The sequence below is a fragment of the Homo sapiens genome, chromosome 17, assembly GCF_000001405.40.
Source record: "Homo sapiens chromosome 17, GRCh38.p14 Primary Assembly".
NCBI classification, from domain to species: Eukaryota; Metazoa; Chordata; class Mammalia; order Primates; family Hominidae; genus Homo; species Homo sapiens.
This window is the reverse complement of record NC_000017.11, coordinates 30957349-30982751: the sequence shown is the minus strand read 5'-3', so window position 1 is coordinate 30982751 and position 25403 is coordinate 30957349. Positions and strand designations below refer to the sequence as shown.

The window sequence follows — 25403 nt, the reverse complement described above, 5'->3', positions numbered from 1 at the left end:
TAAAAATGGTTTAGGGCCAGAGAGAAGTGGGGGAAAGCCAGAAGACTTAAGGGTGGAGAGGGCAGAGCAAGATAGCCAAATAGAAGGCTCCATTGATCATCCCTCCCACAAGAACACCAAATTTAACAACTACACAAAAAAGCACCTTCATAAGAACCAAAAATCAGGGGTACTTACAGTACCTGGTTTTAACTTTATATTACTGAAACAGGCACTGAAGAGGGTAGGAGAAACAGTCTTGAATTGCCAATGCAACCCATATCCCATGTGTCAGGGGCCACATGCACAGAGAATCTGTGCACTCAGGAAAGGGAGAGCATGGTGATAAAGAGAATAGAAAGACTTTGCCTTGTCGCTTCACAAAGCAAAACTGGGCTGAATTCAGCTGACGCCTACCCACAGAGGGAGCATTTAGATCAGTCCTAGCCAGAGAGGAATCAAATCACCCACCCCAGTTATTGGAACCTGAGTTCTGGCAAGCCTCTCCACTGTGGGCTGAAGTGCTCTGGGGCTCTAAATAAACTTGAAAGGCAGTCTAGGCCACAAGGACTGCAACTCCTAGGCAAGTCCTAGTGCTGAGATGGGTCTCTGGACCGGCCCCGAGCCTGGGTGAATGTGCCACCATGAAGGGAAGGACACAAGCCTGGCTGGCTTTGCCATCTGCTGATTATAGAGCCCTAGGTCCTTGAGTCAATATAGGTGGTAGCCAGATAGTGGTTAACAAGGGGCTTGGGTAAGGCACAGTGCTGTGTTGGCTTTAGGTCTGACCCTGTGCAGTTCTAGTGGTCATGGCCACAAGGTGCTTCTGTCACCCCACCTCCAGCTCCAGGCAGCTCAGCACACAGACAGACTGTTTTGGAGAACGTATGAGAAGAGAACAAGAATCTCTGCCTGGTAATCCAGATAATTCTTCTGGATCTTATACAAGACCACCAAGGTGGTACCTCTAGTAGTCTGCAAGAGTCACAGCTTTACTGGGCTTGGGGTGCCCCCTAATGCAGATACGGCTTAGATCACAACGCCCAAGTCCTTTCAAATTCCTGGAAAGCCTTCCCAAGAAGGACAGGTACAAACAAGCCCAGACTGTGAAGACTACAATAAATAACTAACTCTTCAATGCCCAGGCACTGACAAACATCCACGAGCATCAAGACCATTCAGGAAAACATGACCCCACCAAACTAACTAAATAAGTCACCAAGAGCCAATTCAGGAGAAACAGAAATATGTGACCTTTCAGACAGAGAATTCAAAATAGCTGATTTAAGAAAACTCGGAGACATTCAAGATAACAGAGAAGGAATTCAGAATTCTATCAGGTAAATTTAACAAAATGATTGAAATAATTAAAAATCGGTTAAGAGTCATCACCACGCTCTCCCTCTCCCTCTCCCTCTCCCTCCACGGTCTCCCTCTGATGCTGAGCCAAAGCTGGACGGTACTGCTGCCATCTCGGCTCACTGCAACCTCCCTGCCTGATTCTCCTGCCTCAGCCTGTCGAGTGCCTGCGATTGCAGGCGCGCGCCGCCACGCCTGACTGGTTTTCGTTTTTTTTTGGTGGAGACGGGGTTTCGCTGTGTTGGCCGGGCTGGTCTCCAGCTCCTAACCGCGAGTGATCCGCCAGCCTCGGCCTCCCGAGGTGCCGGGATTGCAGATGGAGTCTCGTTCACTCAGTGCTCAATGGTGCCCAGGCTGGAGTGCAGTGGCGTGATCTCGGCTCGCTACAACCACCTCCCAGCCGCCTGCCTTGGCCTCCCAAAGAGCCGAGATTGCAGCCTCTGCCCGGCCGCCACCCCGTCTGGGAAGTGAGGAGCTTCTCTGCTTGGCCACCCATCGTCTGGGATATGAGGAGCCCCTCTGCCTGGCTGCCCAGTCTGGAAAGTGAGGAGCGTCTCTGCCCGGCCGCCATCCCATCTAGGAAGCGAGGAGCGCCTCTTCCCCGCCACCATCCCATCTAGGAAGTGAGGAGCGTCTCTGCCCGGCCGCCCATCGTCTGAGATGTGGGGAGCACCTCTGCCCCACCGCCCTGTCTGGGATGTGAGGAGCGCCTCTGCTGGGCCGCAACCCTGTCTGGGAGGTGAGGAGCGTCTCTGCCCGGCCGCTCCGTCTGAGAAGTGAGGAAACCCTCTGCCTGGCAACCGCCCCGTCTGAGAAGTGAGGAGCCCCTCCGTCCGGCAACCACCCCGTCTGGGAAGTGAGGAGCGTCTCCGCCCGGCAGCCACCCCGTCCGGGAGGGAGGTGGGGGGGGTCAGCCCCCCGCCCGGCCAGCCGCCCCGTCCGGGAGGTGAGGGGCTCCTCTGCCCGGCCGCCCCTACTGGGAAGTGAGGAGCCCCTCTGCCCGGCCGCCCCTACTGGGAAGTGAGGAGCCCCTCTGCCCGGCCAGCCGCCCCGTCCGGGAGGGAGGTGGGGGGCTCAGCCCCCCGCCCGGCCGGCCGCCCCGTCCGGGAGGTGAGGGGCGCCTCTGCCCGGCCGCCCCTACTGGGAAGTGAGGACCCCTCTGCCCGGCCAGCCGCCCCGTCCGGGAGGGAGGTGGGGGGGTCAGCCCCCCGCCCGGCCAGCCGCCCCATCCGGGAGGTGAGGGGCTCCTCTGCCCAGCCGCCCCTACTGGGAAGTGAGGAGCCCCTCTGCCCGGCCAGTCGCCCCGTCCAGGAGGGAGGTGGGGGAGTCAGCCCCCCGCCTGGCCAGCCGCCCAGTCCGGGAGGGAGGTGGGGGGTCAGCCCCCCGCCCGGCCAGCCGCCCCGTCCGGGAGGGAGGTGGGAGGATCAGCCCCCCGCCTGGCCAGCCGCCCCGTCCGGGAGGTGAGGGGCGCCTCTGCCCGGCCGCCCCTACTGGGAAGTGAGGAGCCCCTCTGCCCGGCCAGCCGCCCCGCCCGGGAGGGAGGTGGGGGGGTCAGCCCCCCCGCCTGGCCAGCCGCCCCATCCGGGAGGGAGGTGGGGGGGTCAGCCCCCCGCCCGGCCAGCCGCCCCGTCCGGGAGGGGGGAGGGGGGTCAGCCCCCTGCCCGGCCAGCCGCCCCGTCCGGGAGGGAGGTGGGGGGGGTCAGCCCCCCGCCCGGCCAGCCGCCCCGTCCGGGAGGGAGGTGGGGGGGATCAGCCCCCCGCCTGGCCAGCCGCCCCGTCCGGGAGGTGAGGGGCGCCTCTGCCCGGCCGCCCCTACTGGGAAGTGAGGAGCCCCTCTGCCGGGCCAGCCGCCCCGTCCGGGAGGGAGGCGGGGGGGGGGGGTCGGCCAGCTGCCCCGTCCGGGAGGGAGGTGGGGGGGGTCAGCCCCCCTTCCGGCCGGCCGCCCCGTCCGGGAGGTGAGGGGCGCCTCTGCCCGGCCGCCCCTACTGGGAAGTGAGGACCCCTCTGCCCGGCCAGCCGCCCCGTCCGGGAGGGAGGTGGGGGGGACAGCCCCCCGCCCGGCCAGCCGCCCTATCCAGGAGGTGAGGGGCGCCTCTGCCCGGCCGCCCCTACTGGGAAGTGAGGAGCCCCTCTGCCTGGCCAGCCGCCCCGTCCGGGAGGGTGGGGGGGGGGGTCAGCCCCCCGCCCGGCCAGCCGCCCCATCCGGGAGGTGAGGGGCGCTTCTGCCCGGCCGCCCCTACTGGGAAGTGAGGAGCCCCTCTGCCCGGCCACGACCCCGTCTGGGAGGTGTGCCCAGCAGCTCATTGGGGATGGGCCATGATGACAATGGCGGTTTTGTGGAATAGAAAGGCGGGAAGGGTGGGGAAAAAATTGAGAAATCGGATGGTTGCCGGGTCTGTGTGGATAGAAGTAGACATGGGAGACTTTTCATTTTGTTCTGTACTAAGAAAAATTCTTCTGCCTTGGGATCCTGTAGATCTGTGACCTTATCCCCAACCCTGTGCTCTCTGAAACATGTGCTGTGTCCACTCAGGGTTAAATGGATTAAGGGCGGTGCAAGATGTGCTTTGTTAAACAGATGCTTGAAGGCAGCATGCTCGTTAAGAGTCATCACCACTCCCTAATCTTAAGTACCCAGGGACACAAACACTGCGGAAGGCCGCAGGGTCCTCTGCCTAGGAAAACCAGAGACCTTTGTTCACTTGTTTATCTGCTGACCTTCCCTCCACTATTGTCCTATGACCCTGCCAAATCCCCCTCTGCGAGAAACACCCAAGAATGATCAATAAAAAAAAAATAAAAAATAAAAAATAAATAAAAAAAAGAAATAATTAAAAATCAAGCAGAAATTCTGGAATCGAAGAATGCATCTGACATACTGAAGAATGCATCAGAGTCTCTCAATAGCAAAATCGATCAAGTATTAGAAAGAATTAGTGAGCCTGAATTCAGCCTATTTGAAAATACACAGTAAGAAGAGACAAAAGAAAAAAGAGAATGAAGCATGCCTACAAGATCTAGAAAATGGCCTCAAAGGGGCAAATCTAAGAATTATTGGCCTTAAGAGGAGGTAGAGAAAGAAATAGTGGTAGAAAGTTTATTCAAAGAAATAATAGCATGGAACTTCCCAAATCTACAGAAAGACATCAATATCTACATACAAGAAGGTTATAAAACACCAAGCAGATTTAACCCAAAGAAGACTATGTGAAGGCATTTATAATAAAACTCCCAAAGGTTAAGGTTAAAGAAAGGATCCTAAAGCAGCAAGAGAAAAGAAATAAATAATATACAAGGGAGTTCCAATACATCTGGCAGCAGACTTTTCAGTGGAAACCTTATAGGCCAGGAGAAAGTGCCATGACATATGTAAAGTGCTGAAGGAAAAAACTTTTACCCTAGAAAACTATAATTTGTGAAAATAGCTTTGAAACATGAAGGAGAAATAGACTCTCCCAGACAAACAAAAGCTAAGGGATTTTATCAACACCAGACCTGTCCTACAAGAAATGCTAAAGGGAATACTTCAATCAAAAAGAAAAGAAGGCCAGGCGCAGTGGCTCATACTTGTAATCCCAGCACTTTGGGAGGCCACGGCGGGTGGATCACCTGAGGTCAGGAGTTCGAGACTAGCCTGGCCAACATGGTGAAACCCCGTCTCTGCTAAAAATACAAAAATTAGCCGGGCGTGGTGGTGGGCGCCTGTAATCCCAGCTACTCCAGAGGCTGCGGCAGGAGAATCGCTTGAACCCAGGAGGTGGCCTGTAATCCCAGCACTTTGGGAGGCTGAGGTGGGCAGATCACTTGAGGTCAGGAGTTCAAGACCAGCCTGGACAACATGATGAAACCCTGTCACTACTAAAAATACAAAAATTAGCTGGGCATGGTGGCGCATGCCTGTAGTCCCAGCTACTCGGGAGGCTGAGACAGGAGAATTTCTTGAACCCAAGAGGTGGAAGTTGCAGTGAGCCGAGATCACGTCACTGCACTCCAACCTGGGCAACAGAGTAAAACTCTGTCTCAAAACAAAACAAAACAAAACAAAAACCTCACTAGTAATAGTAAGGTCACAGAAAACCAATAAAAAATAACTACAACAACTTTCAAACATATAGATAGTATAAGATATACACAGAAATAACAAAAAATTAAATAGCAGGGGATGAATTTGAAGTGTAGAGTTTTTATTAGTTTTCTTTTTGCTTGTTAGGTAGTTCATGCAAGCAGTGTCAAGTTGTTATCAGCTTAAAACAATAGGTTATAAGATACTACTTGCAAGCTCATGGTAACCTCAAATCAAAAATCATATAATGGATACACAAAAAATAAAAAGCAAGAAACTAAATCATAGCACCAGAGAAAATCATCTTCATTTAAAGGAAGACAGAAAAGAAGGAAAGAAGGAAGAGAAGACCACAAAACAAAACAACCAAAGAACAAATAACAAAATGGCAAGAATTACTTATCAATAACATTGAATGTAAATGAACAAAAATCTTCAATCAAAAGACACAGAGTGGTTGACTGGATAAAAAAACAAGACCCAATGATCTATTCCCTACAAGAAACACACTTCATCTATAGGCACATATAGACTGAAAATAAAGGGATGGAAAAATATATCCCATGCCAATGGAAACCAAAAAAGAGCAGGATTAGCTATACATATATCAGACAAATAGATTTCAAAACAAAATCTATAATAAAAGACAAAGTTTATAATGATGGAGTCAATTCAGTAAGAAGATATAACAACTGTAAATATATATGCACCAACACTAAAGCACCCAGACATGTAAAGCAAGTATTATTAGAGCTAAAGAGAAGACAGACTCCAATACAATAACAGCTGGAGACTTCAACAACCCACTTTTGGCATTGAACAAATTATTCAGACAGAAAAGTAACAAGGAAATATTGGACTTAATCTGTACTGTAGATCAAATGGACCTAATGGATATTTATGGAACATTTACATCCACGCTACAGAATACACATGGATCTTTTCCTCAGCACATGATCATTCTCAAGGATAGGTCACAAAACCTAAGACCTAACATATGTCAGGTCACAAAAACAAGTCTTAAAACATTCAAAAAAAATTGAAATAGGCTGGGCGTGGTGGTTCATGCCTGTAATCCCAGCACTTTGGGAGGCCGAGGCGGGTGGATCACGAGGTCAGGAGTTCAAGACCATCCTGGCCAACATGGTGAAACCCCGTCTCTACTAAAAATACAAAAATTAGCCAGGTGTGGTGGCGTGTGCCTGTAATCCCAGCTGCTGGGAAGACTGAGGCAGGAGAATCACTTGAACCAGGGAGGCGGAGGTTGCAGTGAGCAGAGATCACGCCACCGCACTCCAGTCTGGCAACAGAGCGAGACGCCATCTCAAAAAAACAAACAAAAAAAATTTTTTTAGTATTTATTTTTTTTTACATGTGACTTTTTGTATTTATCATCTCTCAACTTTGTAGAGATGAACAGGCAGAAGAGTCAGAATTGAAGCTTGGAGCCCAAACTTGGGATTCCAAAATGGGGTAGAAGCCATATACGTTAGGAGCTTGGCAGCAGCCAAAATGGACTATTCTGTGGCCAACGAAGTCATCTGCAGGGACCTTGATGTTGGGGTACAGGATGAGCTGGAAAGAGGGTACCCGATGACCCATGTACACCAGGCCAATCAGGTGAGCAGTGTTGGGCAATCTGGGTAGTGTGTCTGCATTTCTCAGGCCGACACTGGTGGTGACTCCACCCTCCGGTATTGGCGGTTGTGGAGTTTCTTGTTTTTGCTGAATATGCTTTTATTTGGCTTTCTTGAGTTTTGCTCTGTGGTTCTTGAACCAGACCTGGAGTATTGTTGGGTGTATGTCTATTTTCGAGGCCATTTATTTCTGAGGGCAGGGGTTTGGGTATGGGTTCTCATTGAACAAGATGTTCAGATCTTCCAGTTGCTTCTCAGTGAACACAGTTCATTTCCTGTGTGAATGCATCTGGTCCTTGCCTTTAGGAAGATCCTCTGAGCCTGGCATCTTCTAATCCAGATGTGTGCCTGGGCTCAGGTGCAGGCATAAGTAGCAATATTTTTTTAAGGGGAAACAGGATGTTGCTCTGTTGCCCAGGCTGGAGTGCAGTGACATGAAAACAGCTCACTGCAGCCTCAACCTCCTGGATTCAAGTGTTCTTCGTACCTCAGTCTCGCAAGTAGCTGGGACCACAGCCATGTGTCATCACACCCAGCTTCTTTTTTCTTTTTTTTTTCATTGGGTCTCATAGCTTCTTTTTTCTTTTTTTTTTAATTGGATCTCACCATGCTGCCCAGGCTGGTCTTGAACTCCTGGGCTCAAGCAATCCTCCTGCTTCTGCCTCCCAAAGTGCTAGGATTGTAAGTGTGAGCCATGACAATCTGCCTGAAAAATTTCTTAAAATAAATTATAATGGGCCTGGCACAGTGGCTCATGCCTGTAATCCCAGCACTTTGGGAGGCCGAGGCAGGCAGATCACCTGAGGTCAAGAGTTTGAGACCAGCCTAGCTAACATGGTGAAACCCCATCTCTACAAAAATATAAAAATTAGCCTGGGTGGTGATGGGCACCTGTAACCCCAGCTACTCGGGAGGCTGAGGTAGGAGAATCACTTGAACCCGGGAGATGGAGGTTGCAGTGAGCCAAGATCGTGCCACTGCACTCCAGCCTGTGTGACAGAACAAGACTCTGTCTCAAAAAAAAATAATAATAATAATAATAATAAAAAGGAATAACATAGCTAGGAATAAATTTAATCAAAGAGGTGAAAGACTTATACACTTAAAACTACAAAAAAAAAAATCACTGAAGGAATTATAGACCCAAATAAAAATAAATAAAAAGACATTCTGTGTTTTAGGGAAAGAAGACTTAATATTGTTAAGATGTCAATACTACCCAAAGTGATCTACAGATTCAACATAATCCCTATCAAAATTCCAACAGCCTACTTTGTAGAAATGGAAAAGCCAATTTTCAAATTCAGATGGAATTGCGAGGGGTTCTGAATAACAAAAACAATCTTGGGGAAAAAAAACAAAAAACAAAGTCAAAGAACTCACACTTCTCTATTTATAAATTTACTACAAAGTTATAGTAATCAAAATAGTGTGGTACCAGCATAAGTACAGACATATAGACCAATGGAATAAAATGGAATGTACAGAAATAAAACTATACATTTATTTTGAGACAGAGTCTCACTCCATTACCCAGGCTGGAGTGCAGTGGTACAATCACGGCTCACTGCAACCTCAAACTCCCAGCTCAGGTGATTTCTCCTACCTCAGCCTCCCAAGTACCTGGGACTACAGGCACATGCCACCATGCCCAGCTAATTTTTTGTATTTTTCTAGAGATGGGGTTTCATCTCTAGATGAAACTTTGGCCTCCCAAAGTGCTGGGATTACAGGTGTGAACCACATGCCTGGCCCAGCCAAATGATTGTTGACAAGGATGCCAAGTCTAATCAATGGAGAATAGACTCTTCAACAAATGGTACCAAGACAATTGGATTTCCACATACAAAAGAATGAAGTTGGACCCCTAATTCACACCATATACAAAAATTAACTTAAAATTGACCAATTACCTAAACGTAAGCTAAAACCATAAAACTCTTAGAAGAGGCTGGCACAGTGGCTCATGCCTGTAATCCCAACACTTTGGGAGGCCAAGGTAGGCAGATCACTTGAGGTCAGCAGTTCAAGACCAGCCTGGCCCACAGTGAAACCCCGTCTCTACTAAAAATACAAAAATTATCCAGGTGTGGTGGCAGGCGCCTGTAATCCCAAATACTTTGGAGGCTGAGGCAGGAGAATTGCTTGAACCCGGGAGGTGGAGGCTGCAGTGAGCTGAGATCGTGTCACTGCACTCCATCCCTGGGAAAGGAGCGAGACCTCGTTTCAAAAAAAAAAAAACTCTTAGAAGAAAACATAGGGGTAAATCTTCATGAACTGAGATTTGGCAATGGATTTGTAAATATGACAACAGAAGCACAAGCAACAAAAGAAAACAACAGATAAAAATTAAATTTAAAACTTTTGCACATCAAAGGATACCATCAAGAAAGTGACAACGCTTAGAATGGGAGAATATATATTTTATAATATATCTGTGAGTCATATCTAATTTGATATCCAGAATATAGAAGGAATCTCTAAAACTCAACAACAAAAAGATAAACAACCCAATTTTAAAATGGTCAAAGGACTTGAATAGACATTTCTGCAATGAAGATCTATAAATGACCAACAAGCACAAGAAAAGATGGGCAACATCATTAGTCATTAAGGAAATCCAGATCAAAATCACAGTGAGGCTGGGTGCGGTGGCTCACGCCTGTAATCCCAACACTTCCGGAGGCCGAGGTGGGCAGATCACAAGGTCAAGAGATCGAGACCATCCTGGCCAACATGGTGAAAACCCGTCTCTACTAAAAATACAAAAATTACCTGGGTGTGGTGGTGCATGCCTGTAGTCCCAGCTACTTGGGAGGCTGAGGCAGGAGAATCACTTGAACCCAGGGGGCAGAGGTTGCAGTGAGCCAAGATCATGCCACTACACTCCAGCCTGGCAACAGAGCAAGACTCCATCTCAAAACAAAACAAACAAAAAAAATGTGGCACATCCACCCAATGGAATATCATTCAGCCCCATAAAAGGAATAAAGTTCTGACACATGCTACAACATGAATGAACTTTGAAAACACTATGCTAAGTGAAAGAAACCAGGCACAAAGGGACAAACATTGAACGATTCCAGTTATATGAAATATCTAGAACAGGCAAACTCAGATACAGAAAGTAGCTTAGATGTGAGCAGGGGCTAGAGGGAGGAGAAATGAGGAGTTACTGCTTAATGAGTACAAAGTTTCTGTTTATGATGATGAAACAGTTTTGGAAACAGAAGTGATAGTTGCACAACAGGAAATGTAACTAATTTGTCACTGAATTGTACACTTAAAAATGGTTAAAATAGGCGGGGCGCGGTGGCTCACACCTGTAATCCCAGCACTTTAGGAAGCCGAGGCGGGCAGATCACGAGGTCAGAAGATCGAGACCATCCTGGCTAACAACGGTGAAACCCCGTCCCTATTTTTTAAAAAAAGAAAAAAACATACAAAAAATTAGCCAGGCGTGGTGGCGGGCGCCTGTAGTCCCAGTTACTCGGGAGGCTGAGGCAGGAGAATGGCGTGAACCCGGGAGGCGGAGCTTGCAGTGAGACAAGATGGCGCCACTGCACTCCAGCCTGGGCCACAAAGCAAAACTCCGTCTCAAAAAAATAAAAGGTTAAAATGAGGCCAGGCGCTGTGGCTCATGACTGTAATCCCAGCACTTTGGGAGGCCGAGGCGGACGGATCATCTGTGGTCAAGAGTTTGAGACTAGCCTGGCTAACATGTCGAAACCCCGTCTCTACTAAAAATACCAAAATTAGCCGGGCGTGATGGCGCACGCCTGTAATCCCAGCTACTCTCGAGCCTGAAGCAAGAGAATCACTCGACCCTGGGGGGCGGAGGTTGCAGTGAGCCGAGATCACGCACGCCATTGCACTCCATCCAGCCTGGGCGACAGAGCGAGACTCCGTCTCAAAGAAATAAAGAAAAAGGTTAAAATGGCCAGTTTTAATGTTATATAGATCTTACCACAATTTTACAAGTTTCAGAGAAAGAGACCGAAGATCGATTGGGAAGAAGTTGAAATATGCCAAGCTGTGTAACAGCTAAGTTGACAAGCTTTCGGAAGATGGGGAATTTGTTTTTTTCTACTTCTTCATACTTTTATGAACTTTCCAAAGTGCCTCCGAAGAGCGGAACTCGACTTTTAGACTGAGAAAAGGAACGTAAAAGTAGAACGGCTGAGGAAAGGGGTTCGAGCCACATGGGAAAGGGTCAGGCGGCGGGCAGCCCGGGGGAGCCAGGGGAGCTGCGGGCCCGGCCTCCCTACCCGCTGCAGTTCCGGGCGGCGCCGGGGCCTCGCGGCCGCGCTGGAGAGGGAACTGGAGCCCGGGCAGGGGCAGTGGGCAGGGTCGGAGCCCGCCTGTATCTCGCGTGCGGCGCGGCGGTACTTGTCGGCCAGGTCCTGCAGTAGCGTGTTCTTCCGCAGGTGCGGCTGCTGCGCGGCGCCCTGGCGGCAAGTGGGGCAGGCCCAGCGGCGGGCGTCGCGGGCGCCCCACAGGGCCTCCAGGCAGTGGCGGCAGAAGCTGTGGCCGCAGGGCAGCGTGGCGGGCCAGTCCAGCAGCCCCTGGCAGATGATGCAGCCGAGGTCGTCCTCGGCCAGCCACACGGGAACGGCGGAGCCCAGGCCCAGGCCCGCCATGGCCAACAGGCGGCCGGGGCGCGGACGTCGGGGTTGAGCCGGGCGAGTCTCCTCAGGCTCCTCCCTCGCCCTTCCTCTTCCCCTTGCCCTCCTCCTTTTCTCGGCCGCCTTTTCTCCTCCTTCCTTGGCGCCACCCCGTCTCCTTCCTCCGATCCTGCTGAAAACAGACTTAGAGCCTCCAGTGCCCAGCTGGAAAGACAGAGCTGACCTTCAGTGGCGGCCTCTTGCCCTGGGAAACCAACATGCCGCGAGCTGCTAGAAACCCGCGGAGGTCTCCAAGATTCCCTTTAGCTGGATGTCCCTCCATTAAGATGCAGCACCGTTGGATGTCTTCGTCCGTTGGCTTAAAAAAAAATAAACAACAAAAAAGATGCAACACCGACAACTCTTGGGAGGAGAGGACTCCATTCAGCAGCTTATTTATGAGAATGAGCCCACGAAGTGTCATCCAGCTCCTCTAACAAGTAGCAGGGGATTAAAGATCACCGATGCACAGCCACAGGGAGCGTCCTCAAAAATGCTGATGTTCGGCCCCGCTCGCAGGGAGTCTGATTTCATTGTCTTGGGTGGAGCACGGGTATTTTGTAAAACCTCCCCCAGGTGATTCTGACGCGCATTCAAGGTTGAGTGAGCGAACCCTTGGCTTTTTAACTCGCAGGTATAATGCAGAGTTGTGCGCTGTGTCCTTACCGCCTTCTGCGGGATGTAAGCGCGTTTCCCAACAGACACTCGGACAAAATTCTAGAAAGTGTTTTCCTGAGAAGGCTCACTCACTCACTCACTTCGCATCCCAGTCCTAAACGCATTGCAACCAGAAAATGTTAGAGCTAAAAGAGCACCACGTCCTCCCAGATGACCCAAAGAGGTTAAAAAAAAAAAAAAGAGAAAAAAGAAAAACTTGCAGGCTCTCATGGTAACAATGAAGCGTCAGAGACTAAAACCCACAACTCCCCAATCTGTTGAAATGAACTAACAACGTCTCATGCTTTACTTTATCCTTTCTGGCCTGGGCTCAAAGTAGGTATCAGATAATACAAGTTTGTAGCCGACCTTTGGATCACTTGAAGTCAGGAGTTCAAGACCAGCCTGGCCAACATGGTGAACCCTCATCTCTACTGAAAATACAAAAAGAAAAGAAAAGAAAAGCCAGGCGCCCTGGCGCATGCCTGTAATCCCAGCTACTTGGGAGGCTGAGGCAGGAGAATCTCTTGAACCCGGGAGGCGGAGGTTTCAGTGAGCCAAGACTGCGCCACTGCACTCCAGCCTGGGCGACATAGGGAGACTCCGTCTCAAAAAAAAAAAAAAAAAAAAAAAGAAAAAAAAGAAAGAAAAGAAAGAAAAAAAAGCGTTTGTGGTTATTTCTAATACTGGAAGTGTCATGGAGTAGGCAGCGCTGCTCATCAACGTTTCCAGTGCTTTCCCTTTCTGGGCACATGGTAGGACTGGCACTTCCCTGACCCACTTGAAACACACAGAGGTAATATGTTACTTCCCACCAGCTTTAAAGGCGACTGAGCCGGCCATTGTATCCCTTTCTGCCAGCTGCCCCAATTATGGAGATGAAACCATCATCCGGTGACCTGGGTCACTGAGTGGCTAAGATGAGCAGACTCCCTGCCAACGCACCCTAGGATACGTAGTAAGAGGGAGAAGAAAACTAGGATGTATTCAGCTTACTGAGATTTAGTGGGTGTGTGCTGCTACAGCATAACCTAGCCTATCCTGACTGATGTATTACCTGGATCTTGTTCTAGAATCTCCGCATCGGAGTAAAATCGTAGTTTCTAAGAGCCTCTTTTTTTCTGTAAAACGGGCATGATACTAAACACTTAAACATGCTCAGATCTTCCAACTTAAAAAATGAAATCACTGGCGGGGCGTGGTGGCTTATGCCTGTAATCTCAGCACTTTGGGAGGCTGAGGCAGGTGGATTGCCTGAACTCAGGAGTTCGAGACCTGCCTGAGCAACATGGTGAAACCTTGCCTCTACAAAAAAAATACAAAAACTACCTAGACATGGTAGCGCAGGCCTGTGATCCCAGCTACTCAGGAGACTGAGGTGGGAGGATTGCTTGAGCCAGGGAGGTGGAGGCTGTAATGAGCCATGAGATCTCAGGAGGTCAAGACTGTGGTTAGCTGTGATCACACCACTTCACTCCAGCCTGGGGAAGGAGCTAGACCTAGTCTCAAAAAAATTAAAAATTAAAAAATAAAATAAAATCACCTTTGACCTGAGCCTCCCTGGAACCAGCTCTCCTCTTCTCCATTTCACAGCCAAGTTTCTGGAAAGAGTGAGTTAACCAGTAGTTTTCAAACTTTTTTCTTGGACACGCCCTAAAAGTTTTATGCAAAATCATGCAGTGGTTATAAGAAAGGGGGAAGTGGGGGCCGGGCGCAGTGGCTCACGCCTGTAATCCCAGCACTTTGGGAGGCTGAGGCGGGCGGATCATGAGGTCAGGAGATTGAGACCATTCTGGCTAACACGGTGAAACCCCGTCTCTACTAAAAAATACAAAAAAAATTAGCCGGGCGTGACGGCGGGAGCCTGTAGTCCCAGCTACTCAGGAGGCTGAGGGAGGAGAATGACCTGAACCCAGGAGGCGGAGCTTGCAGTGAGCTGAGTTCGCACCACTGCACTCCAGCCTGGGCGACAGAGCAAGACTCTGTCTCAAAAGAAAAAAAAAAAAGAAAGAAAGAAAGGGGGAAGGGGGAGAGTGGTCAGCTCTGGTAGTAAAAATATATTAGCAAATTCTTCATTTATATCAGATTTTTTTTTTTTTTGAGATGGAGTCTCACTTTGTTGCCCAGGCTGGAGTGGAGTGGAGTGGCACAATCTCGTCTCACTGCAACCTCCACCTCCCGGGTTCAAACCATTCTCCTGCCTCAGCCTCCGGAGTAGCTGAGATTACAGGCGCTCGCCACCATGCCCGGCTAATTTTGTATTTTTAGTAGAGATGGGGTTTCCCCATGTTGACAGGGTTTCTCCATGTTGGCCAGGCTTGTCTCGAACTCCTGACCTCAGGTGATCCGCCCACCTCATCCTCCCAAGTGCTAGGATTACAGAGGTGAGCCACCGCGCTCAGCCTACATCAGACATTTTGTCATTCTTGGCCGAGTGCGGTGGCTCATGCCTGTAATCCCAGGACTTTGGGAGGCCGAGGCAGGCGGATCATGAGGTCAGGAGTTCGAAAAATACAAAAAAAAATTAGCTGGGCGTAGTTGCAGGCACCTGTAATCCCAGCTACTCAGGAGGCTGAGGCAAGAGAATCATTTGAACCCGGGAGGTGAAGGTTGCCATGAGCCAAGATGGCACCATTGCACTCCAGCCTCGGCAACAGGGCAAGACTCCGTCTCAAAAAAAAAAAAAAAGAAATTTTGTCATTCTTTTATCTTTCTGAACTTGTATTTCCATTCCATTTCCTCCACAGAATTACATTCCAAAGCAATATATTTCATGCATGAAAGTCTTTTATCACTTTGTAATACTTCTCTACAACAAAAGTATGTATGTGTATTAAATTTTTAATTCTTCTTAACTTCCTGTGACAAAAAGGCTCTTGGTAAATTTTTTCCCCTGGATTTAATTATCAATATAATTACTATTAGCAGTCAAACAAAAGAAAAGTATGCTGCAATTTATAACTTTTATATAAATAAAATAACTTTTAAAGACAGTAAACATTTTATTGGAATGATAGCTATTAATAAGACAGATGGGCTCATTTCTTTCAAAAATGCATTTATGCCCAGGCACGGTGGCTCACATCTGTAATCCCAGCACTTTGAGAGGCCAAGGTGAGCGGAACACTTGAGGTCAGGAGTTTGAAACCAGCCTGGCCAACCTGGTGAAACCCTGCCTCTACCAAAAAATACAAAAATTAGCTGGGCATGGTGGCCTGAGGTCCCAGCTACTCCAGAGGCCGAGGCAGGAGAATTGCTTGAACTTAGGAGACGGAGGTTGTAGTGAGCTGAAATGGCACCACTGCACTCCAGTCTGGGCAACAGAGCAAGACTCTGTCAAAAAAAGAAGCATTTATCTATGAATGAACATTACTTAATGATAGACAAACTTTTGCAATAAATTCTATTTCTTTTATGTTTTTATGTGTGCCGAGAAATCTTGTTCACATGTATAAATAGATGACAAAATTGTCACTCATTTTGTTGAATACTTTTTGAGATATATGCAAAAAAGTCATATAGTGATAATCTCTCAATTAACAACTTGATTTGATTTTTCTTTAATTTTTGTTGAAAGCAAGAATTTGAGGTCGGGCGCGGTGGCTCACACCTGTAATCCCAGCACTTTGGGAGGCCGAGGCGTGTGGATCACGAGGTCAAGAGATCAAGACCATCCTGGCAAACACGGTGAAACCGCGTCTCTACTAAAAATACAAAAAAAAAAAAAAAATTAGCCAGGCACGGTGGCGGGCGCCTGTAGTCTCAGCTACTCGGGAGGCTGAGGCAGGAGAATGGTGTGAACCCTGGGAGGCAGAGCCTGCAGTGAGCCAAGATCGCGCCACTGCACTCCAGCCTGGGCGACAGCGAGACTCCATCTCAAAAACAAAAAAAAGAATTTGAAACACTTGTGTTACAAAAGTCGTTAGAAGTATTCACTTTAAAAATAAATAAATAAATACATAAAAATAAATAAAAAAATAAAATAAAATAAAAAAATAATAAAATAAAACTTAAAAATTAAATAAATAAATAAATAAAATAAAAATAAATTAAAAAAGATCAAATAAAAAAAGAAGTATTCACTTTCTCATTTTCTGGGTGTTATTGTAACGTGGCTGACTCCATCTTGCTGCTAGCCTCACAGGCTGGCTGTCTTCGCTCATTCCTGGGGTAGGCCAAGCTAACCGTGGAAGGAATTTAGTTTATAGTTTAAATTAGAAGCCAGGATGATAATAGTCCCTCCCTAAAACTAATCCTTTCCTTATTCAGGGGGCTGAAACCACCTTTGTAAAACCATTGAAAGGCCACAAAATTAAGTTTATGGGAGGGGCCTGAATTCTGCTGAGATGTTGACACAATTTCTATAATCCCTTACCTTCAGGAGTTATGTAGCCAGAAGTCACAAGATTTGTGGCTTCTTCAATTGCTCCTATAGATAACATCACTATTGTAGAATCTAAGATTGGTGGAGATGTTTTCCAGACTTACGCCACCAGGACTGGTGACTTGTGACTCAGTTGGCCATGTGGCCTCAACCAGAGGTGGACTCAGTTCATGAGGACGATTTTCCACACCCGTAATGACTGCATCCCCAACCAATCAGCAGCATCCATCCCCTAGTCCCCTGCCCACCAAACTGAAAAACCATAACCTCCAGCCTTTGGGGAGACTGATTTGACTGATAATTCCACTTCTCCCACATGGCCAACCTCACCTTAATGTTAATTAAACTCTTTCTTTACTGTTTTGCCTGTGCAGTGGGCAGGAAGAACCCGTTGGGTGATTACAGTATGCCAAAAAGACTTTGCCAAGGTTTAGCAAATGACTATCAATTAAAAGCAATTACACTTTAACTTAGAGACAGCTTGTTTACTGATATACTCAGAAAGGACTGGGAAAATTAGAATATTGTTTATTTTAATACACCATTGTCAATCTAATATTTTTTGGAAAGGTGCTTTTATGTTATGTATTTGAAATATATATACACACATACATATATGTATACATATATATATACATTTTTGGGTTTTTTTGTTTGTTTGTTTTGTTTTTTGAGACAGGGTCTTTGTTGCCCAGGCTGGAATGCAGTGGTGTGATCTCTGCTCACTGCAGCCTGGAGCTCCCAGGCTCAAGCCATCGCTTCAGTCCCACAAATAGCTGGGACTACAAGCACATGCCACCATGCCCTGTTATTGTATTTTTTATAGAGGCCAGGTTTTACCGTGTTGCCCAGGCTGATCTCAAACTCTCAGACTCAAGCAATTCTCCCATCTCAGCCTCCCAAAGTGCTGGGATTACAGCATGAGTCACCACGTCCAGCCCTGAAATTTTTCTATTCAAGTACATGTGTTAACACCCATCCCTGTGACACTAGGTTCTAATGCTAAATTAGATTTAAAAAATCAGAGCCAGGAGCAATGCCTCATGCTTGTAATCCCAGCATTTTGAGAGGCCGAGGAGGACGGATCACCTGAGGCCAGGAGTTCAAGACCAGCCTGGCCAACATGGTGAAACCTCATCTCTACTAAAAATACAAAAATTAGCCCGGTGCGGTGGCACACACCTGTAATCCCAGCTACTTGGGAGGCTGAGGAGGAGAATGGCTTGAACCTAGGAGGTGGAGGTTGCAGTGAGCCGAGATTGCACCACTGTACTCGAGCCTGGGCAACAGAGCAAGACTCCATCTAAAAAAAAAAAAAAAAGATAAGAAATGATGAGGTGCTTGAGTTTGTGTGCTGGATGAAATAAGGCACACTGCCATTAACATGTTTTTGTTTGTTTGTTTTGAGACAGAGTCTCCCTCTGTTGCCCAGGCTGGAGTGCACTGGCGCAATCTTGCCTCACTGCAAACTCCGCCTCTTGGGTTTAGGCGGTTCTCATGCCTCAGCCTTCCAAAGTGCTGGGATTACAGGCATGAACCACCACGCTCGGCCTAACATGTCCTATCAGTTTCTTTTCTTTGTTTTTACTAAATTCTTTTTTTTTTTTTTTTTTTTTTTTGAGATGAAGTCTCACTCTTGTCCTCCAGGCTGGAGTGCAATGGCACGATCTCGGCTCACTGCAACATTTGCCTCCCGGGTTCAAGCGATTCTCCTGCCTCAGCCTCCCAAGTAGCTGGGATTACAGGTGCATACCACCACGCCCAGCTAATTTTTTGTGTTTTAAGTAGAGACGGGGTTTCACCATGTTGGCCAGGCTGGTCTCAAATTCCTGACCTCAGGTGATCCGCCTGCCTCAGCCTCCCAAAGTGCTAGGATTACAGGCGTGAGCCACCGAGCCCAGCCTGTTTTTGCTAAATTCTTTCAGGGACAAAGCACTTTTTGTCAAGGGACGGAAGAGATCATTAAATTTCCATTATTCTTACTTCCACTCCACTTCATAATAAATGATTCAAATGCCCAAACATAAGCCAAAACACTGCTTAAAAACTTTTTTGGTAGAGAAGATCTTGAACGCTATGCTGTCCAGGCTGGTCTCAAACTCCTGGCCTCAAGTGATCCTCCCTTCTTGGCCTCCAAAGTGCTGGGATTATAGACATGAGCCATCACATCTGGCCTCACCCCATTTTTTTCTCACCCCATTATTAATGCCAAACTTTGTCAGCAACAAAAGTCAGCAAAAAACGAAGAAAGTCATGAACCCTAACCTTAATACCTTGATTAAAGAAGCCTTCACTGACACTCTTACAGAATGAAAAACTATGGACTGGAAGAAAATATTTACAAATCCAAGTCTGTATTCCTAGTATCCAGAATATATGAAGAACTCTCAAAATTCAACAGTAGAAAAAGCAAACCACCCAATTTTTTTTTTCTTGAGACAGAGTCTCACTCTGTCACCCAGGCTGGAGTGTGCAGTGGTGCGATCTCGGCTCACTGCAACCTCCACCTCCCGGGTTCACGCCATTCTCCTGCTTCAGCCTCCCGAGTAGCTGGGACTACAACCACACCCGGCTAATTTGTTGTATTTTTAGTAGAGACAGGGTTTCACCGTGTTAGCCAGGATGGTCTCGATCTCCTGACGTCGTGATCTGCCCACCTCAGCCTCCCAAAGTGCTGGGATTACAGGTGTGAGCCACTGTGCCCAGCCCAAACCACCCAATATTTTAAAAAGGCAAGCAGGGCACTGTGTCACATGCCTGTAGTTCCAGCTACTCAGGAGGCTGAGGCAGAAGGATCTCTTGAGGTGAGGGGTCTGTGGATGTAGTATGCCATGGTCATATCTGTGAATAGCCACTGTGCTCCAACCTGGGCAACATAGCAAGACCAGATCTCAAAAAAAAAAAAAAAAAAAAAAGCTAGGGAATCAAATGGTCACTTCATCAAAGAAGATATAAGATTGGCCAATAAGTACATAATAGGACTTCGACATTGTCAACCGCTAGGGAAATGCGTATTAGAACCATAATAAAATACCACTCCATACCTATCAGAACAGTTAAAATAAAAAATACTGACAACACCAACTGTTGGTGATAGAGTAACTGGAACTCTCATACATCACTAGTGAAATGTCAAGTAGTACAGCCACCGGGAAAGTTTGTTATAAAATTAAGCATATATCTAACCAAATGTTGATGGCTATTGTGATACCCTGGTTCTTGTCTTCTTAGTTTAAAAGAATTTAGGCCGGACACGGTGGCTCATGCCTGTAATCCCAGCACTTTGGGAGGCCCAGGCAGGCAGATCACGAATTCTGGAGATTGAGACCATCCTGGGTAACGTGGTGAAACCCCACCTCTACTAAAAATACAAAAAAGTAGCCGGGCGTGGTAGCAGGCGCCTGTGTCCCAGCTACTCGGGAGGCTGAGGCAGGAGAATGGCATGAACCCAAGAGGCGGAGCTTGCAGTGAGCCGAGATCGTGCCACTGCACTCCAGCCTGGGCAACAGAGCGAGACTCCATCTCAAAAAAAACAAAAATGTAAACAAGAGACACACAGCAAAAGAAGTGCAGCATAGGCCAGGCGCGGTGGCTCATGCCTGTAATCCCAGCACTTTGGGAGGCCGAAGTGGGTGGATCATGAGGTCAAGAATTCAAGACCATCCTGGCCAACATGGTGAAACCTCATATCTACTAAAAATACCAAAAATTAGCTGGATGTGATGGTGCATGCCTGTAATCCCAGCTACTTGGGAGGCAGAGGCAGGAGAATTGCTTGAACCAGGGAGTCAGAGGTTTCAGTGAGCCAAGATCACTCTACTGCACTCCAGCCTGGCGACACAGAGAGACTCCATCTCGGGAAAAAAAAAAAAGTGCAGCATAGAGTTATTTATTGTAAAGGAGAAAGAGGATTTTGAAAATTAAGTGCAGAATGGGCAGCACACTCAGAGAGAGGATTCAGGGTAGGCTGCTCATTTAAGGATGAGACAGCAAAAACTGGCACTAAGGAGACTCCCTTTATGGGAGTCTTATGTGATTATTCATAAGGAAGTGGAAAGAGGAGTTACTAGTAAGCATGTTCTGGGTGGTCTTCTGGGTGCACATGCACAGTAGTTTACATGCTTGTTCATACACCACATGTCTCATTACCATCTTAAATTTCCACCCAGGGGTGTATTTTTTACTATTAAAATAAGCAAAGGGTCAGTTTGAGACCAGGTAAAATCAAAGTGTGCATGCTGTCAGGGCCGGGCGCGGTGGCTCACGCATGTAATCCCAGCATTTTGGGAGGCTGAGGTGGGTGGATCACCTGAGGTCGGGAGTTTGAGAGCAGCCTGGCCAACATAATGAAATCCCATCTCTACAGAAAAATACAAAAATTAGCTGGGCATGGTGGCATGTGCCTGTGGTCCCAGCTACTCAGGAGGCTGAGGCAGAAGAATTGCTTGAACCTGGGAGGCAGAGGTTGTAGTGAGCCGGGATGACACCACTGCACTCCAGCCTGGGTGACAGAGCAAGACTCCATCTCAGAAAAAGGAAAGGACAGGAGAGGAGAGGGGAGAGGAGGGGAGGGGAGGTGAACCGCAAAGTTTGCATGCTGTCTACATGGGAAATTCCCTACTGCAGATAGCTTTGCTTGAATTAGCTCAGTTGCATTGTGAATGCTGAGGCTTATTGTGTTGACTGAATGGTCAGCATGATTGCTGTGTCCTGAGACCCTGGTTACTTCCTTGACTACCTACCCTGCATCAGTATGAACCAGAAGCCCCATACCTGGGGACTGTTGTATGTATGAATAATTTGTTCCTTTTTATTGCTAAGCAGCATTCCACTGGATAAACAAGGTATGGTATAGCCATATAGTGGAATACTTCTTAGCAATAAGGAAAGACATATTGACACATGCAGTGACTTTGATGAATCTCAAAGGTATCATGTGCTGTGAAAGAATCCAGTCTTTAAAAATTACAGGCCTGGCGTGGTGGCTCATGCCTGTAATCCCAGCACTTTGGGAGGCCGAGGCAGGTGGATCACGAGGTTGGGAGATCGAGACCCTCCTGGCTAACATGATGAAACCCTGTCTCTACTAAAAATACAAAAAATTAGCCAGGCATAGTGGCGGGCGCCTGTAGTCCCAGCTACTCGGGAGGCTGAGGCAGGAGAATGGCGTGAACCCGGGAGGCGGAGCTTGCAGCGAGCCGAGATTGCGCCACTGCACTCCAGCCTGGGCGACAGAGCAAGACTCTGTCTCAAAAAAAAAAAAATAAAATAAAATAAATAAAATAAAATAAAATAAAATAAAATAAAAATTACATATTAAATGATTCCATTTATATGGCATTTTTGAAAGTACAATCTATAATGATGAACGGATCAATGGTTGCCACGGGGCAGGGGAAGGGTGTGGCTACAAGGGAGTTTTGGGGTGTGACATAACTGTTCTTTGCTGAAGCAGAGTCTCACTCTGTCACCCAGGCTGGAGTGCAGTGGTGAGACCATAGCTCACTGCAGTCTTGAAATCTCAGGCTTAAGTGGGAGTTCAGCCTTGAGTAGCTGGGACTACAGGCACATGCCACCATGCCTGGCTTTTTTTTTTTTCTTTTTCTTTTTCTTTTTTTGAGACGGAGTCTCACTCTGTCGCCAGGCTGGAGTGCAGTGGCGCAATCTTGGTTCACTGCAACCTCCGCCTGCCGGGTTCAAGCGATTCTCCTGCCTCAGCTTCCTGAGTAGCTGGGACTACAGGCACGTGCCACCACAGTCAGCTAATTTTTGTATTTTTAGTAGAGACGGGGTTTCACCATGTTGGCCAGGATGGTCTTGATCTCCTGACCTCATGATCTGCCTGCCTCGGCCTCCCAAAGTGCTAGGATTATAGGCGTGAGCCACCGTGCCCGGCCAATAAATTTCTTTCTATAGCCATATATATATATATGTATATCATTGGTTCTGTTTCTCTGGAGAACGCTAATACAAGTGAAGTGTGATTCAAATTTTCTTTTCTTTTTCTTTTTTTTTTTTTTGGAGACGGAGTCTCACTCTGTCACCCAGGCTGGAGTGCATAACCCCCCAGGCCCAAGCAAGCCTCCCACCTCTGCCTCCTGAGTAGCTGGGACTACAGGCATGCATTACAGTGCCCATGCCTAGCTATTTTCTTTTTTTAGACGGAGTTTCCCTCTTGTCGCCCAGGCTGCAGTGCAATGGCTGTTCACAGGCATGATCCCTCTACTGACCAGCACGGAAGTGCTTCATTTCTGATCTGGGCCAGTTCACCCCTCCTTAGGCAAACTGGTGATTCCTCACTCCTGGGAGGTCACCATGTTGATGCCAAATTTAGTGTGGACACCCAATTAGCATTGTGCACTAAAGCCCAGAACTCCTGGGCTCAAATGATCTTCCCACCTCACCCTCCCCAGTAGCTAGGACTACAGGCACGTGCACACCTGATATCTCTGAGCCTTTACACATGCTTCTTTCTCTGCCTCCTCCCACCCCAACCCAACTATCTTCTACTCTTTCTTCAGGATTCAGCATAGGTATCATCTCTTTTAGAGAACTTTATCTGTCAGGACTGATTCAAGTAATAGAAACTTCCTTGCACTAACAAGCCAAAAAGGGAAAAAGGGATTTAATATAAGAGTATAGAAGCATACTCTTCCTTGAGGAAGGAATCATCCAAAACCAAGCACTCCATTTCATTAGGACTTTATCTCTTGTGTCTGTTCTTTCCCACCCTTAGAATCCCAGTTGGCCTCTTCAAGTAGCTTTGTTACTGCCTATCTATACTTCTCGTTCTTCTCCTCTAGACCATAAGTTCCTTGAAGGCAAGACTGTACCTTTATTAATTTCCTCATCCCCAGAACTTAGCAGAGTACACCCAACAGAGTTCACAGGTGGTCAAAGAGGCAGACAAGTAAACTGGCCCTTAATGCACAACCCAGCAAGTGTCCTTGAAAATGCACATTTTCAAGGTGCTTCCAGAGCCAGAGGAGATAGAGAGGACTCACCTCCCTATCTGGGCAGTCGAGAAGCTTCAGGAAGGACACAGGCTTACGCATTGCTTATCCTTTGATTGGGGGATCCAAAGGAAAGTCCCATACAATGCATAGATTTTTTTTTTTTTTGAGATAGGGTCTCACTCTGTCACCCAGGCTAAGTAAAGTGGTGCAATGAGGGGTCACTGTAGCCATGACCTCCCTGGCTCAAGTGATCCTCTCACATCAGTGTCCGGAGTAGCTGGGACTACAGGCATTCATTACCATGTCCAGCTAATTTTTTTTTCTTTGTAGAGATGGGGTCTCACTATGTTGCCCAGGCTCTTCTCGAACTCCTGGTCTCAATCCTCCTGCCTCAGCTTCCCAAAGGGCTGGGATTATGGGCATGAGCCATCACACCCAGCCACGGAGAATCAGAGAGTCTCTTAAGAGACCTCCCAGCTCCTTGGGTCTCCATTGAAGCAAAGAGAGAACATCCAGTGTATTTCTGCGTGGTGCTTGAAGACAGAGGAAAGGAACAACGAGTCACAGAGCAGGGGACTTGGTGCTCTGTTTCTCTAACATTTCAGCCATCTGAGATTTCATTCAGTTCCTCTTTTTCTTTCTGATACGGAGTCTCGCTCTGTCACCCAGGCTGGAATGCAATGGCGCAATCTCACTGCGCCCGGCCATTGACTACTTTATCTTTCACTCTTCATTTTTGAAGAGTCTGGGTCAGATGTTTAGCAGAATGCCCCTAATGTGGATTTGTCTGATTATTTCCTCATGGTTAGATTCAGATTAAACTTTTTTTTTTTTTTTACAAGATGCCACTTGCATGATGCTGTGGGTGCCTTTTCATTGCAATGCCTCCATTTCAGATGTGAGAAAGTTCTGGGCCTGTAGGGCATTTCAAGCCTAGGTGTGTATGGGGGAGGAGGGGATAGATGTTCATCTATGCACCAGATCCTCAGATCCCCGAGGTGGGTTGCGGGGAAGGCCCAGGGAGCTGATGGATAAAGCCACAGCTTCAGTCCTGGCAGAGTTCACTGCCAGGAATGGCTGCTGACTGCGGGGCACTGATGGTGGGCAGCCAGGGCCGAGGTGCAAACTTCTTCCCACAAGGAGTTCCAGGTGTTCAGTGGCAGCCAGTTCCTCAGTTAATGGGTCACCTGCTGCTGCGGCCACTCTCTGTTGATGCAGCTGCAAGGGAAATGAAGAGGGCTGAGGGAGGTGGCCATGCCAATGCTGTCCTGTGGAGGAGAGGGACAGCAAAGGGACAGGCGTACAAAGACAGAGGGAGCCATGGCCGGGCACAGTGGCTCATGCCTGTAATCCCAGCACTTTGGGAGGCCGAGGCAGGTGGATCACTTGAGCTCAGGAGTTCGAGACCAGCCTGAGCAACATGGTGAAACTCTGTCTCTACCAAAAATACAAAACAAATTAGCTAGATGTGGTGTCACGAGCCTGTAGTCCCAGCTACTTGGGAGGCTGAGGTGAGAGGATTGCCTGAGCCCAGGAAGAAGAGGTTGCAGTGAGCTGAGATCGCACCACTGCACTCCAGCCTGGGTGACAGTGCAAGACCCCACCTCAAAAAAAGAAAATTAAAAAAAAAAACACAAAGACAGAGGGAGCCAGAATAAAAAACAGAATGAAAGAGTGAGAGCCAGGGCGTCAGAGGGAATGCAC

General features: G+C 47.9%; 2 protein-coding genes and 2 pseudogenes across 16 annotated transcripts in view, besides 10 other annotated features; all 4 read right to left on the bottom strand.

Annotated features, from left to right (window-relative positions):
* The window catches only part of RNF135 (ring finger protein 135), a 40991-nt gene extending 17160 nt beyond the window's left edge, over nt 1–23831 (bottom strand). For 3 of the 6 annotated variants that reach the window (NM_001184992.2, NM_032322.4, NM_197939.2), the window contains exon 1: nt 11307–11713. In NM_001184992.2, coding sequence (NP_001171921.1) covers nt 11307–11678 — 372 coding nt within the window. In that variant the 5' untranslated portion in view covers nt 11679–11713. The other 3 variants (XM_047436929.1, XM_024451001.2, XM_024451000.2) reach the window with 3 other exon arrangements.
* DPRXP4 (divergent-paired related homeobox pseudogene 4) lies at nt 6748–7417 on the bottom strand (annotated as a pseudogene). Its single transcript, NR_002221.1, has one exon. The product of NR_002221.1 is annotated as a divergent-paired related homeobox pseudogene 4 (transcript).
* Nucleotides 10898–11147: an enhancer, noted in NCBI's record as "active region_12007". NCBI's record gives its function as "activates an Ori minimal core promoter by ATAC-STARR-seq in GM12878 lymphoblastoid cells {active_cell/tissue: GM12878}" and the evidence as "EXISTENCE:reporter gene assay evidence [ECO:0000049][PMID:35858748]".
* Nucleotides 11176–11737: an enhancer, noted in NCBI's record as "H3K27ac hESC enhancer chr17:29298033-29298594 (GRCh37/hg19 assembly coordinates)". NCBI's record gives its function as "activates a minimal SCP1, AML or CMV promoter by ChIP-STARR-seq in primed H9 embryonic stem cells {active_cell/tissue: H9 hESC(primed)}" and the evidence as "EXISTENCE:reporter gene assay evidence [ECO:0000049][PMID:30033119]".
* Nucleotides 11176–11757: a biological region, named in NCBI's record as "H3K27ac hESC enhancer GRCh37_chr17:29298033-29298594".
* Nucleotides 11218–11757: a silencer, noted in NCBI's record as "silent region_8406". NCBI's record gives its function as "represses an Ori minimal core promoter by ATAC-STARR-seq in GM12878 lymphoblastoid cells {active_cell/tissue: GM12878}" and the evidence as "EXISTENCE:reporter gene assay evidence [ECO:0000049][PMID:35858748]".
* Nucleotides 11738–12299: an enhancer, noted in NCBI's record as "H3K27ac hESC enhancer chr17:29297471-29298032 (GRCh37/hg19 assembly coordinates)". NCBI's record gives its function as "activates a minimal SCP1, AML or CMV promoter by ChIP-STARR-seq in primed H9 embryonic stem cells {active_cell/tissue: H9 hESC(primed)}" and the evidence as "EXISTENCE:reporter gene assay evidence [ECO:0000049][PMID:30033119]".
* Nucleotides 11838–12087: an enhancer, noted in NCBI's record as "active region_12006". NCBI's record gives its function as "activates an Ori minimal core promoter by ATAC-STARR-seq in GM12878 lymphoblastoid cells {active_cell/tissue: GM12878}" and the evidence as "EXISTENCE:reporter gene assay evidence [ECO:0000049][PMID:35858748]".
* Nucleotides 12368–12427: an enhancer, noted in NCBI's record as "active region_12005". NCBI's record gives its function as "activates an Ori minimal core promoter by ATAC-STARR-seq in GM12878 lymphoblastoid cells {active_cell/tissue: GM12878}" and the evidence as "EXISTENCE:reporter gene assay evidence [ECO:0000049][PMID:35858748]".
* Nucleotides 12488–12577: an enhancer, noted in NCBI's record as "active region_12004". NCBI's record gives its function as "activates an Ori minimal core promoter by ATAC-STARR-seq in GM12878 lymphoblastoid cells {active_cell/tissue: GM12878}" and the evidence as "EXISTENCE:reporter gene assay evidence [ECO:0000049][PMID:35858748]".
* Nucleotides 22230–22279: a silencer, noted in NCBI's record as "silent region_8405". NCBI's record gives its function as "represses an Ori minimal core promoter by ATAC-STARR-seq in GM12878 lymphoblastoid cells {active_cell/tissue: GM12878}" and the evidence as "EXISTENCE:reporter gene assay evidence [ECO:0000049][PMID:35858748]".
* Nucleotides 22902–23188, bottom strand: RN7SL138P (RNA, 7SL, cytoplasmic 138, pseudogene; annotated as a pseudogene).
* Nucleotides 23430–25403, bottom strand: part of ADAP2 (ArfGAP with dual PH domains 2) — a 37378-nt gene continuing 35404 nt past the window's right edge. For all 9 annotated transcript variants that reach the window (NR_144488.2, NM_001346712.2, XM_024450834.2 and 6 more), the window contains one exon: nt 23430–24917. Coding sequence is in view for 8 of the 9 variants with exons in the window: in NM_001346712.2 (NP_001333641.1) it covers nt 24883–24917 (35 nt within the window). In the remaining variant the exon portion in view is untranslated. The remainder of the gene's footprint in view (nt 24918–25403) is intronic.
* Nucleotides 24406–24905: an enhancer, noted in NCBI's record as "H3K4me1 hESC enhancer chr17:29284865-29285364 (GRCh37/hg19 assembly coordinates)". NCBI's record gives its function as "activates a minimal SCP1, AML or CMV promoter by ChIP-STARR-seq in naive H9 embryonic stem cells {active_cell/tissue: H9 hESC(naive)}" and the evidence as "EXISTENCE:reporter gene assay evidence [ECO:0000049][PMID:30033119]".